The 14,806-nt window shown below is 34.1% G+C and overlaps 1 long non-coding RNA gene across 1 annotated transcript in view; it reads right to left on the bottom strand.

Moving 5' to 3' along the window:
* Window positions 1–14,806, bottom strand: part of LOC105374974 (uncharacterized) — a 120,749-nt gene that overhangs the window by 73,539 nt on the left and 32,404 nt on the right. The gene's annotated exons all lie outside the window — the stretch shown is intronic.

Here is a 14,806-nt window from a genome sequence, read left to right on the forward strand (position 1 = left end):
TCTACACATATATGGGAGACTCAACAAAATGGAGGGAAAAGTGATTCCAATTTTTCAAATTACTATGAAAAGAAAACAGTGACACATTTTATAGATTCTATGTGTTAGTAGGTTGAGTTACTTAATTCGTTCATTTAATTCCACTATATCTTAATATAACCTATATCCTACTATACTAGAAATTGGTTTGTAATATGTTTAAATAGCATGGTCAATAACTAGAAAACTTGATCAAAATATAGTCATCAAAATGAAGAAAGGAGAGTATTAATGGTTATAGAAATTCACTGGCTAAATTGAAGGAGATGGGAGGAGGCCTAGGATATGATCTTCAGAGATTTAGTGTGATCCAGGAGAAAAATCATATAGCAGGTGGATTTCTAGAAGATACACTCAAAAGTTAACACTGAGGTAGAGATTGATAACCATAGTTGAGAACTCTAATTAAATTCCACCACATTGATCAGGCTGAGCCTGTTTCTTGCCTCGGAACCCAGAGGCTTCATGACATTGTTCATAGGCAAGAAGTGATTTCAGATTTTCACATATTTCTGAATAAGATTTATTGTGGGAGAATTAAAGAATGGAGGCACAAATACAAACCCTTGTTGCTCCATCAAATTTTTTCTGAAAATATAATCTTTGCTTTGTAGCTTCTTTTTGTTTATTTTTTTAAATTTTGCTCCAGCTCTTTGTTAAACAAAATTTGAAATGATTTTTTGTATTGTGTGTTAAACATTGGATCTTTGGGAATGCAGAAGAGAAGGATATTATAAGTTAAAGGAGTAAATTATTCAAATTATGCTTCTCTGGATTAAGAATTGTTCTAAGTGTATTCTCAAATTGAAAGTTTATTAATTAGCACTTTTTAATTAAGGTTTTCTCACTATTTTGCCATATTGAATATTAGCTATTATTGATACATCCTCTAAGATGGGCATACAAATGAGAGGATACCTAACCTGACAGGGAAAAACAAATAATTGAAGGAAAAAAAAAACTTATCCTCAAGTGTAAAATCTTACACATCATGAAAAGATTACTAGTAATCAAAGTGTCTGACTTACTCTTTATGCAAATATTATTGAAAATCCTGCATATGCAAACAAAGATTCTTTATGATAGAGATTAAAGACATACAGTGCAGTGATTAGTATTCTTTGTATACATTCAAACCCAACAAGATTGATATGCAAGCAAAATGAATTACAATCAGGAATAACACTCTGTTATTATCAAATCACTCAAAAACAGTACCAAGGCAATACAGCATTCAGGGAAATATGGGAATGTTGTGAGGCATTAGTGAGAGACAGGAAGATTTCTAGGAATATGATTTTATATCATTTATGGTTTAAAAATCTATAGGCAACAGACAAAATAAAACACAATGGAAATGATATACCAGCATAATTATTTATGAAACAAAGACAGTTTTGCATACATTTTCAGGCCTTGGGCAAGATTGATCTTTTTAGGTCTTAGATCCTGAAGATGTATGCTAAACTATTCATAAAATTTTTCATCACAAAATAATACTGTGACTGATTCTGTTCTTATTATTTTAGGGGGGAGAAAACTCCCACGCCCAAATTACATGCTCAATTTGGAAGCTGTTGGGGAATCTACTGTTTCTTTAGGGCAATGATGTTTTTTTAAAATGCTACGCATGTCTTCTAAGGAGCATTTACCCAAAAGATTTCAAGAGTCACAAATTACATCAGATGCTGTTTTAGTCCATTTTGCATTGCTATAAAGGAACTATCTGAGGCTGGGTAATTTATGAAGAAAATAGTTTTATTTGGCTCACAGTTCTGCAGGCTGTACAAGACACATGCACCAGCATTTGCTTCTGGTGAGGGCTTCAGGAAGCTTCCAATCATGGCAGAAGGGGAAATTGAGCAGATAGCACATGGCAATAAAGGAAGGAAGAGAGAGCAGAAAGTGCCATGCTTTTTAAAATAACCAGCTTTTACATGAACTAATAGAGCAAGAACTCAGTCATTACCCAGAGGACAGTACCAAGGCATTCTTAAGGAGCCACTCCCATGACTCAAATACCTCCCACCAGGCTCCACCTCCAACATTGGGGATCAAATTTCAATATGAGATTTGGAGAGGACAAATATCCAAACTATACCACATGCCAAGGTTAAAATAAAATATGGTCATATACTATTTCCTTTTGAAGATTGAACCATAATAGCAATTAAGGTAAAAATAATCTGTAATTAAGAATAAAGCATTTTATTCTTATGGGATTAATTTAGAATTTTACTTAGAATAAATATGGCATTTCTGAAATCTACTCCCTTAAAAATGGCATACTGTGAAAAGCAGACTGGTTTATTTCAAATCTATTGCCAAATAATTTAAAATCTCCAAGCCTCCCCATAACTAAAGCTTGAGTTATTGCACCTGCTTTTGAGCAACTGACAGATCTGTGCTACCTGAACTGATCTCTACTTTATCTCTGACTTGGGATTTAGAAATGTTGCAAGTGCCACATGAAAAGGTGGGCATGCAATAAGAATTGTGCTCTTCATCCTTGAGCCTCTTCTAAAGTTGTCAGGAATAAATGCAACATTCTGAACTACAAATTCATGAACTTAAAAGTTAGGCAAAAAAAGACAGGAAGAAGTGAGATGGTAGAAGTTTGGTAAAGTAAAATAAATAGGTATGTAAAACCAAGAGTGTCTTGCTGAGCACTCAGATTTTTAAATTCTGCATTGTCTCTGGAACAATTTTAAATTCAGGAACTACCCAATCTGGTCAACAAGATTGATTATTGTCACTAGTAACTTCATATCCATTGAAAAAGTCAACATATTTTGTTTCTGAATACAATAAATAATTATTACTTAACTTCTCAGTTGCATTATGATGATGATGATGATGACAGTAACAACACAAATAATTTTATTTTTATGAAATATCTTACTTGACCTTAACAATAACACTGAGAGAGACAATGACAGATTTTGTCATTAACCTCAGTTATCTAAGGAGAAAAGCTTAGATTAATAATGCACTAAGGCTACAGGCCAAGGCCACATGAGTGAGATAAGTGACTGGAACCTGGTTATTATAACTCTATAGCCTGTACTCTTTGGTGGACACCACACAGCCTCTCTATTACTGCCTCATATTAAAGTAGACACTTCATCAGTCTTAAACTTTGTATACAAATAGAGAAATTGATGTGATGAAGGATATCAGCTAATATTTCCTATACTATATTTCAGTTTTAATCTATGTCAAAACTGAAGTGTGTTTATATTTAAAATATTCTAATTTTATATTTTTATTGATACATAATAATTGTACATATTTATGGGGTACATGTGATATTTTGATACATGCATACAATGTGTAATCATCAAATCAGGGTAATTAGGATATCCATCACCTCAAACATTTATCTTTGTGTGTGCTGGGAAAATTTCAGATCTTCTCTTCTAGCTATTTTCAAATATACAATATATTATTGCTAACTATAGACACCCTATTCTATCAAACACTAGAACTTATTTCTTCCATCTAACTGTACATTTGTACCCATTAATCAAACTCTTTTCATCCCACTTCACTTTCCAGCCTCTGGTAATTATCATTCTACTCTCTACCTCCAATACATCAGCTTTTTTTTTTAGCTCTCACAGAAGGGTGAGAACGTGGAATAGTTGTCTTTCTGTGCCTGGCTTATTTCACTTAACATGATGATCAGCAGCTCCATCCATGTTGCTATAAATGACAAAATTTCATTCTTTTTTATGGTTGAATAGTATTCCATTATATTTTTATGGACCACATTTATACATTCATCCATTGATGAACACTTAGGTTTATTCTGAATCTTGGCTATTGTGAATAGTGCTGCAATAAAAATGATGGTGAAGGTATCCCTTTGATATTCTGATTTCCTTACTGTTGGATAAATACCCAGCAGTGGGATTGTGGATCATATAGTATTAATAGCTCTATTTTTAGTTGTTTTTTTAAAGCAACTTCCATACTGTTTTTTATACTGACTATACTAATGTACATTCCTACCAACAGTGTACGAGAGTTTCCCTTTCTCTGAATCTTTGCTAGCATTCGTTATGTTTTGTCTTTTTAACAATAGCCATTTTAATTGGGATGAGATATCTCATTGTGATTTTGATTTGCATTTCTCTGATGATTAGTGATGCTCAGCATTTTTTCATATACCTGTTTGCCATTTATATGCCTCCTTTTGAGAAATGTCTATTCGGATCCTTTGTCCAGTATTTAATGAGATTATTTGTTTTTGTTTTGCTGTTGAATTGTTTGAGTTCCTTGTATATTCTGCAAATTAGTCCTGTCAGGTGAACAGTTCGAAAATGTTCTCTTCCTTTTTGTAAATTGTCTGTTTACTGTGTTCATTGTTTCCTCTGCTGTGCAAAAACTTTAAAAATTTAACAGGTAAGGTGATATGTAAGGGATAGGAGTCTATTTCATTCTTCACATATAAATAGATAGTTTTCCTACCACCATTTATCGAAGAGAGTGTTCTTTCACCAATGTCTGTTCTTGGCACCTTTGTTGAAAATCAGTTGGTTGTAAATACGTGAATATTTTTCTGGGCTCTTGATTCTGTTCCATTGGCCTACGTGTCTGTTTTCATATCAATGTCATGTTGCCTTGGTTACTATGTCTTTGTAGTATATTTTGAAGTGATGCTTCCTGCTTTGTTATTTTTGCTCAAGATAGCATTGACTATTTAGACTTCTTTGTGGTTTCATACAAATTTTAGCATTTATTTTCTATTTCTGTAAAGAATGACATTGGTTCTTTTTATTAATTTCATTTCACCATGGCTTGAAAATATGTAATTTTGATTTTTAAAAACTGATATAATTTTGATTTTTAAAAATTTTTTGAGACTTATTATGTTGCCTAATACATGGTCTATCCTGGAGTATGTTCCATGTGCCAATGAGAAGAATGTATATTCTGAAGCTGTTGGATTAAAATGTTCTGTAAATGTATGCTAGGTTCATTTGCTCTAAAGTACAGTTTAAGTTCAATATTTGTTGGTTGATTTTCTGTAAAGATGATCTATCCAATGCTGAGAGTGGGATGTTAGAGTCTCCAACTATTATTACATTGAGGTCTATCTCTCCCTTTAGATCTAAACATCTTTGCATTATATGCCTGGGTGCTCTTGTGTTGAATACATATATAATTAGAATTGTTATATCCTTTTGCTAAATTGATTTATCATTATATAATTACTTTATTTGCTTATTTTCACAGTTTTCAACTTAAAGTCTGTTTTATCTGATATAAGTATAGCTATTAACATTTGGTTTCCATTTGCATGTAACATCTTTTCACATCCCTTCATTTTCAGTCTATATGTGTCTTTACAGGTGAAATGAGTTTCTTATAGGCAGCATATAGTTAGGTCATGTTTCTTTAATCCTTTCAGCCAGACTATATATTTTAAGTGGGGAATTTAGCCCATTTACATTCAAAGTTATTATTGATAGGTAAAGACTTATTCCTGTTTATTTTGTTAATTGTTTTCTGTTTTCTTTTTGTATACCCTTTGTTTCTTTCTTCTTCTCTTATTGTTTATCATTGTAGCTTTGTGGTTTTATATAGTAGTAATATTTGAGTCATTTTTCTTTCTCATTTGTATGTCTGCTCTGAGTGAGTTTTATACTTTTTTGTGTTTTCATGATAGTATATATTGTCTTTTCACTTTCAGATGTAGGACTTCATTGAGCCTTTTTTGTATGGCCGGTTAGTGGTGATGAATTATCTCAGTTTTTGCCTATAAGAGAAAAACTATTTTTCCTTCATTTTTGATGGATAATTTTGTGGTTCATAGTATTCTTGGCTGGCAGTTTTTATTGTTTGTTTGTTTTTTCCTTTTCAGCACTTTGCTTATATCAACCTATTATTTCCTAGCCTCTATAGTTTCTGCTGAGAAATTCATTGTTAGTCTGATGGGGATACCCTTGCATGTGACTTGATTCTTTTCTCTTGATTCTTTTCTTTTGATGTTTTTAAATTCTCTTCTCTTTCTTTGGCTTTTGACAGTTTCTCTATTATGCCTTGGAGAAGACTTTGAAGTTGAATCTATTTGGGAATCTTTGAGCTTCCTATAATTAAATGTCTATATCTCTTTCAGCTTTTAATACTTGAAAAGTTTTCAGGTATTATTTTGTTAAATAGAATTTCTATGCCTTTTCCCATCTCTTCTTTTTCTGGAACACATACAATTCAAATATTTGGAAGCTTGTGGTGTCTCATATGTAACATAGGTTTTTTCCTTTGGTTTGATCTATTTTATTATTGAATCTTTCAATTGTATGTTTTATTTCATTCACTGAATTGTTCAGTTCCAGGATTTCTGTTTGTTTCTTTTTATGATATATATACATCTTTGTTGAATTTCTCATTCAGATTATGAATATTTTTATGACTTCTTTGTGTTGTTTATCTATGTTCTCTTATATCTCACTAAGCTTCTTCAATATCATTTTGAATTCTTTTTCAGGCATTTCATATATTTTTTAAAAATTAAAATCTGTTGCTCAATAATCATTGTTTTCATTTAGAGCTGTCAAGTTTCCTTGTTTTTTCATATTTCTTATATCTTTATGTTGACACATTTGTATCTGGTATCAGCCAACTTTATGGATTAGCTTTGTAGGGAAAGACTTATTCCAATGATGTATCTAAAGTGTTGGTTGTGTAGGGCATGTTGGTTTTGATTCTGGGTGGGCACAATAGTACAGTCTCTGTGTGACATCTTTGGCTGTATTCAGCATCAGTGGTGTCTTAATTTTTTCAGTGGCTTGGGCTATGGTTGTTAGTGAAGGCTGTGGTAAGGCTTTACTGGAGACAGGGACATCAGGTAGTCAGTCCTTGGGCCCCAGATGGCATATGTGGGCACTGGTGGTAGCAGGTTTGGGCAGGCTAATCTTTGGGCCTTCAAGTGGCTTGCTCAGGTGCTGTAAGTGGCACCTGTGGGCTGGGCAGGCAGACAGGTTCTTGGGCCCCTGGATGGTGAGCATGGGATTCAGCAATGGTAGTTGTGGTAGTGCGTTAATATTCAGGGCCCCAGGTGGCATGCATGGGCACTAATCGTGGCAGTGATGGGCTGGTTGCTACAGCCCCTAGGTCCCCAGGTGGTACATACAGCTTGAGTCAGTCAATCTCCAGGTACCCCAATGATGCATGAAGATAAAGGTTGGGGCAGGAGGGGCTGGTCAATTCCCAGATGACAGGCACCAGCTATTGTGGGTGGGGTACTTGATTTCCAAGCACTAGGTAGCAGCCATGGGCAGAGTGGGCCTGTCCTCAGGCCTCGGGATGATGCCCAGGAGTGCCAGTCACCAGGCCTTCTGAAGGCACATGCAGGTATGCAGCAGCCTCGCTGCTGGGTGTGGGTAGTAACGTTGCTGTCAGCAGCCCAAGACAGGCAACTCTCAGGCTCTGGGGAGGTATGCTTCAGCTCTCTTTGTCCTGAGGCCAGCTTCCCTGGTGCACTGCACCCTGCATTTCTTGGGTGCGAGACATTGCGTAGGCTAGAGTGCTGGGGACCTGGCTGCACTGCTGGGTCTTGTCAGCATTGTGATGCTGTAGCCCTCTGGGTGGACATGGAAGGATGTCAGCAGAGTTCCAGACATGTGGAGATGCAGGTACAGTTGGGTTCCAGGACAGAATGTAGTCTGTTGAGGGCTAGGCTCTAAAAATGTCACTATAGTGCAGCTGCTTGGGTCTGGGGAGGTGTATGGAGCCCAGCACAAACACCCTCTCTGAAACAATACCATTGTATGGACTCCAGGCAGCTCCCTATACTAATCTCAGGATCTGCAAGGGTCAAGGGGCTTTCCCATGGCTAGGATTTCAGGAATATGCAGAAGGAATGTGGACTACTGGACATCTCTTGCTGGCTTTTTCCCTGCACTAAGGAGTTTATCTTGGCTTTGAGCCAAATCTGGCCAGTCCAGCCTTTTCACTTTCCTCTCCTTTTGTGCTTCAGGAGTTCCCCGTCACTTCCCTGCTGAATTCCAATGTTCTCTCTTAGATGCTCTCTGCAACATGTGATTATCTACTTGCTGTTTTGGTTCTTCTTTGTGGAAGAGGTTAGTGCTGGGTACTTCTAGTCAGCCATCCATTTTGTAGGCCCCTCCCCAAGTATTTTATTTTTATGAGAACCATTGGCAAAAATTCTTTTTCCTGCAGTAATGCTGTTTGAATTTCACCTTTAAAGGCAAAAAATACCTCCTTAGTGTGAGATCTGAAATCAAGTTATAAATCTTTACTAAAATATTAGCCTCAAAGATTAAGGCTAAAGACAGTAAATATGGATTCAGAGTCCTTGTTTGTTTTAACCCACCTCATTTTCTTAACTTTTCCATCATATATACCACACAATGAAAATTTTGAGTTTATCAACTTGTCAGGGAAAAGGATTGTGAGGAACAAAACCTTAAAAAGCAAAGTAATGATCATCACAATGTCATCACAATTTCCCCCAGGAATAAAGCTGAGTGCAACATATGACCTATACAAATGTAAGAGGAAGTTCTATTGCTATTTGGTGTATCTTACATCTTGCTTTAGTAATTAAAGGATATCTCCATAGTGTCAATTTTTGACTATTCCTAGTTGATTTTTATTCTTGCCATAGCTCTCTCCTATTCAATCAGCATCTCTCCTTATCCCAGTTGGTGTGCTGTCCTGGGGAATGTCATATTAGCCCCTACAAAAATAATTTAGGCAACAAGTTTTCCTCAATTAAGTTCACAATATATTTGTACAATAAGTGTGATTAAATTTTGTGTAACATTTACTTCTGTTTTTCTAGAGAAATCTGGAAGTAGAAGGACTTGAAAAATGTATGATTAGTATACATGTTTAGCTTTATTATAAAATGACCCAGTGGGTTACTTGATATGAAAGGTTTTTACTGTTCATTTGATTCTATTTATTATTTGTTTGTTTTAGTTGTTGACTAAGTTTGGTTCTAAATATAAAAAGTTGCAAAACAGTACATACATACTAAATCTGGAGTTTAACTTCTGGTGTATTCATCTATTTTGTATTCTGTAGAAGGGAAGCACCTGCTGGAAAAATACACAGATAACTGATAACTTCTACAAAATTATATCATAAGCTATGTACTAAAATCTGTATAAAAAGAACAGTATAGTAAATCTCTCCTAACACTGGACTACATATTTGTTCTACAGGAGTTAAGACAGATTGCATGAATTCACCTATAATCTCTAATTTAGACTTCCTTGGAATTATGCATTTATAAAAGCATAGAAAATATTCAGTCTAACTCTACTACTTAAAGAAAAATAATGTTAATTCTCATCATATGTTTATTATTAGTGTTGTTTTTTATTAGTAGTTGTGGTCAATAAAAAGGTTTATGATAAAATGAACTCCAATAGAAAGTCCAGTTTCTTTTATATCTTAGAATTTTGCTGCATCAAAAACTACTTGAAGCCAATATAATTTGTAAATATTTTCTGATGTGAAATCTACTTGTAATATTATTGTAGGTATTCTAGGTTTTCCTTGGAATTTTTCAGAAAAATTTTAATTTAAAATGTTTGAGGTGTTCAAGTCTAATGATTTGAGAAATGCAGCCATTCCATATTGGCTGTTGTTCGTCATGTTTTTTTTGTCGTTGCTGTTGTTTTTTGAGACAGAGTCTTGCTCTGTCACCCAGGCTGGAGTGCAGTGGCGTGATCTCAGCTCACTGCAACCTCTGCCTCCTGGGCTGAAGCGATTCTCCTGCCTCAGCCCTCCTGAGTAGCTGGGACTACAGGCGCATGCCACCAAGCCCAACTAATTTTTTTTTGTATTTTTAGTAGAGACTGGGTTTAACCACATTGGTCAGGCTGGTCTCGAACTCCTGATCTTGTGATCTGCCTGCCTCAGCCTCCCAAACTGCTGAGATTACAGGTGTGAGCCACCGTGCCCAGCCCATCATGTTTTTATTGTTAGATGCTTGGTGTTTCTCAGTCATTTGGATGGTATTGATGTCATAAGAGCAGATAATTAACATGCGATCTTTATTTTAACATTCCTCATGACATTTGTTGCCTTTGCTCAGAAAAACGATCACAGTCATGAAATTTCCTAAACTGACAATGAGGGTAAAACTACTTACATTCAGCCTAATTTAAAATGCCATAATAATTTCTTTCTTTAGTCTTGCTTCTTATCAATATTGAATATCAGTAGATGTAAAAGATATATTTATAGTTAACTTATAAAAGATATATTAAATTAGAAGTCTGATGTCTCTGTCACAGTGAATAATTAACTTATAAGAAATGGAAAATAAATAGCTGAAAATGACTGATGTAGAGATTGTAATCACAGGCAGGAGAGGGCTACAAAATCAGAAGAGTGCAAACATTCAGAGATAAAAGAAACTCTCTAGCTATATGAATGAATAAATTGAGTCTGTGACTCTTTGGAAGCTATTTTGTAGTATCTATATACTTGAACTTATGATTTCAGAATCAGATATATGAATGAGCAGTAGATAAGAAAAAAGTCCAGAAATATATGGTTTGCTTTAGTTGGGAGCTTGGTCTTAAAATGACCAAATGGATTCCTTGACCATGAAATGTTTTTATTGTTTATTTGATTGTATTTCTTTTGGGTTTGTTTGTTTCATATTTTAGCTCATTTTGGTATTGGGTAGTCTATCAATTTACTATAAAAGTATTTAGTTGATTTGCTTTTGTTATTTCAAAAAATATGCACAACTTTTGATAAAACAGTAAATTGTTAGCTTGCTTTATTTTTTATTTTTTGTATATATTTTGGCATTGTTTTAATTCCAAAGTTTTCCAACTCTTAGAAACACCTAAGATGTTTAAATATATTATATCATACACTGATGAAGCAACAGCAATAGCTAGAAAGCAAGGAAAAAGTAATCAGAATAACTAAAGAAGCTCCTTATGACATATTTTAACAACCTTCCTTCTTATCATAAGATATGCCACAAGAAAAGGTCATAAATGAAATGAAAGGCAATGCTAGGGATTACATATTGGATGTTAGATCCTAAATATGTGTGCATTATAGCATATTAAAAATCTGACCTCAATAAAACAGGTAATCTATTAAAAACTTTAACCATGTCTATAATTACTGAAAGGATTGGTATGTTAAAAGACCCACAAAAACTTGAGGAAATTTTATGAATCCTAAGGGAATAAATATAACTGAATTAAGACCTAAGAATGATATTTCAGCAACAGAGGAAATGCTTTTGTGATTACCAAGTATATCACTTTTACAAGTGTATTTTATTTAGTTGCATTTCCTAGTCTTATCTTTAAAATTTATTGAAGTAGATTATTATTTTTAACAGTTCTGCAAAGAGAGAAATCAACTAGAGTTTTATGATTTGAAAATTATTTTGCTCAAACAGCTTTATGTCTGTAAGAAAGTAAAATTTCTGAAATCCAATGTGATGAAATTGGACTTGCTGACACTCTTGAATTAATGTAAGGAAAACCTATATACATTCAAAGTAATTTAAATAACCATGATCTGTGCCTTTTCTTAGACTTTAAAATGGAAATGATGACACACTGCCTGTATCCACTTCCTAGGATGTGGTAAAGATTAATTTGATATTTTAAATAGGAATAGATCAAAAATTGATGGAGTTAGAGTATCAGAGAAATGTGTGTAATGTTATTAGGTAAAAATATATTATTCACTGAGATGTGGCAAGATTTTTGCTTGGCACTATATTTTCTATGAATTACTTCAGTTATGTAGGTAGCAATGATCTGCTTATAAACTTTTAGCTTGAAGCCTCTTTGAAAGAGATTCTAATATGTGTCAAATTTTCTGTTCTTTAACCAATTCTTTTTAATATCAAAACAACCTCCTGGAAAATTCATCTTAAATTTAATTTGTTGATTAATAGAATCTAAGAAGATCCTCATTTCTGCCTAAAAATGTGTGGCTTAAACGCAGTGTCAGCCTTCCATCGGTATTTACAGAAAATTAACTTCTGAGATGAACTGATACGAAGCAAATTTCTGTATTCAACTTAATGAATTAACAACATGTGTTAGTTACATTATTTTCCATTATGTAAACTTGTCAAATAGCAAACAAATGTCACAGAGCCACTTAAAACCATGATTTATTTGTATTAAATTCTAGTAATTCATTTTATTTATTGGTATTAGCACTGTATCTTTTAAAATTAGCTTTTATATGAACTCGAGACCTCCTATGGAGACAGAGGAGGCAATGACCACATAGCTAATTCTTAGAGGTCTTTGATTTGAGATGTGGCACTCTGAGTCCACGCAGCATAATGAATAGAACTACTTTTGAAGCTTAACCTACATACCCATATTTTAGAATCAAGATAATGAAATAAATCACTTAAGTAAATGTCTTGTTCAGTTACAGAAAAAATAAGGGATTAGTAAATAGTAAGGAATAAACAAAAAAATTTTAAAAGATCCTAATGAAAATAAGAGCCAGACTGAATGTTGAAGATGATGTTCAGTAGGAAAAGGTGAATGATTTTTAAAAATGACTTATAAATAAATATTAGGCAAAGACTCAAAAAAATGTTTAAAACTCTCAGATGACTAAACAGAAAATAGAAGATAAAAAGGTCAAAAAGAACTATTCGGATTTAAAAGATATAAAAGAACAAAGCACAGCAGGTAATAAAATAAATAAGATAAAGTTTAGAATGGTGCAGTCTGCAAATGAGAAGCTGATAAAGAGAAAGGAATTCAATAAAGAACAATATAAGTAATTGAGGCAGAAAAAAAAACTCTTACTTTAAAAAGACATACTATAGGCATACAGATGTTTCACTTAACATATAATAACTAAATGACTAGTGGTTAATATTTTTTTACCTTCTCACAGTTTTGTATAGTAGATTGTATGGGAAATTTGATCCATTTGAATGACCTACGTGAGGTGAACATTTTGATGCCTATGTTATTATTTTTTAGTAAAGACTAGGTCACAGAAATATAACAAGTCAATAACTCAATCCTAAGTCTTATTTTAAGTTAACCATTGACAACGCAACTCAATTGATTTACTCATTAGCCATTGTTCTGTACAGCTTTCAGAAAGAAAGTCTGCAAATAATTTCTTTCACATTTTTTAGGGCCTGAGAACATAGCAAAGGTGCTATTGGAGCCCTTAGAAGTAATCTATGCATTGAGTATTCATCTGTTATTTTAGTGCCTATTACGCCCCCCAAATTTGAGGGGACAGCTACCATGAAAACTACAAATACAGAACAAACACAAATTTAAAATAACAACAATAATAATAACACAAAGCACAATGGAGAAGAAAATCTTTCCTAAAACCCAAGTCTTAATATAGCTCTAAGCCCCAAACTTAAGTTTGACTATGCTAGAAATGGGGGACAAAAAGGCACTATGTATTGTTACATAAATTTCATCTAATGGCTAGCTATCAATGTAGCCATTAAACAAATGAGATCATGTCCTTAGCAGGGACATGGATGGAGCTGGAGGCCATTGTTCTTAGCAAACACAGGAACAGAAAACGAAATACTGCATATTCTCACTTCTAAGTGGGAATTAAATGATCAGAACCCATGGATACATAGAGAGGAATGACACTCACAAGGACTTTTTGGAGGGTGAAGGGTGGGGGGAAGGAGAAGATCAGGAAAAATAACTAATGAGTAGTGGGCTTAATGCCTTGGTGATGAAATAATCTGTAAAACAAACACAGGTTTACCCATATAACAAATCTGCACTTGTACCCCTGCACTTAAAAGCTTTTTTTAAAAAAATGTTGCTCTAGAATTCAACACTGTGAATTTAACCACAGACAATGAGTAAAACATAAATAATGTCTGATATCATTTTAGGAATACTAAAAAACATTTTATTTTTCCACAGCATTGTTCTCATTGAATATACTTATCATTCTAAAATCCATATCAGATTATGTCATTTAATGAATTAAATCTTTTGATGGCTTCACATCGCCAGTGGTAGTCCTCAAAGTGTGATCTTTCAATGGCTATGAACCATTGGAGTTAATTACAAAATGTGCAGATGCTTAGATCTCCATTTCAGACCTTCTGAAGGCAAATATCTGAGGACAAGACACCCAGTGTCTGTGTTCCAACAGCTCTGTGGATGAATTGATGACACTAAAGTTTGAAAAACATTGGCCTCCTCATTAGAGCCTTTCCCATTTGGCTTAGCTTTCCCAGGGTCATCATCTCTGAGTGCTCTGTGTCTTTTGCAATATCTTTCTCTACAGCTGTAGCTACATCCTATGCACCTTGGACTTCTTACCATGCATTTCCATGTCTAGCCTGCCTTTGAGCAGATTCCTGTGCCTGGAGGGAGTACCTTGTCTCTTTTTGATGGGCTGTAGAGCGTCTGTCTCACAGAATTCTGGGTTAAAGGTTTTCTCTTCTCTGATGCTTTTCCTAATCATTCCAAACAGCATTTACGGTTTTCATGTCTGCACCTGGCTGATTACATACTTACACAACTCTTAGAACTAATATTGTATTATTACGCTCTTGGTTGTTAATATTGCTCACAAAATTTTTAGTATCCCAATGATTGTGATTGGAATTGGCAACAAATATTTGCAATGAATTGGAAAGGATGTATAAAAGGTGTCTGAGTTGATAACTAAAATCCAAGTTTCCTGATAACTATTTATTTAAATTTTGCATATGCTTCCTTAAAGTTATTTGCTGAAGATACAACCCATATAATTTACCTTTTGAAAA

This window comes from Homo sapiens, chromosome 6, assembly GCF_000001405.40.
Source record: "Homo sapiens chromosome 6, GRCh38.p14 Primary Assembly".
NCBI classification, from domain to species: domain Eukaryota; kingdom Metazoa; phylum Chordata; class Mammalia; order Primates; family Hominidae; genus Homo; species Homo sapiens.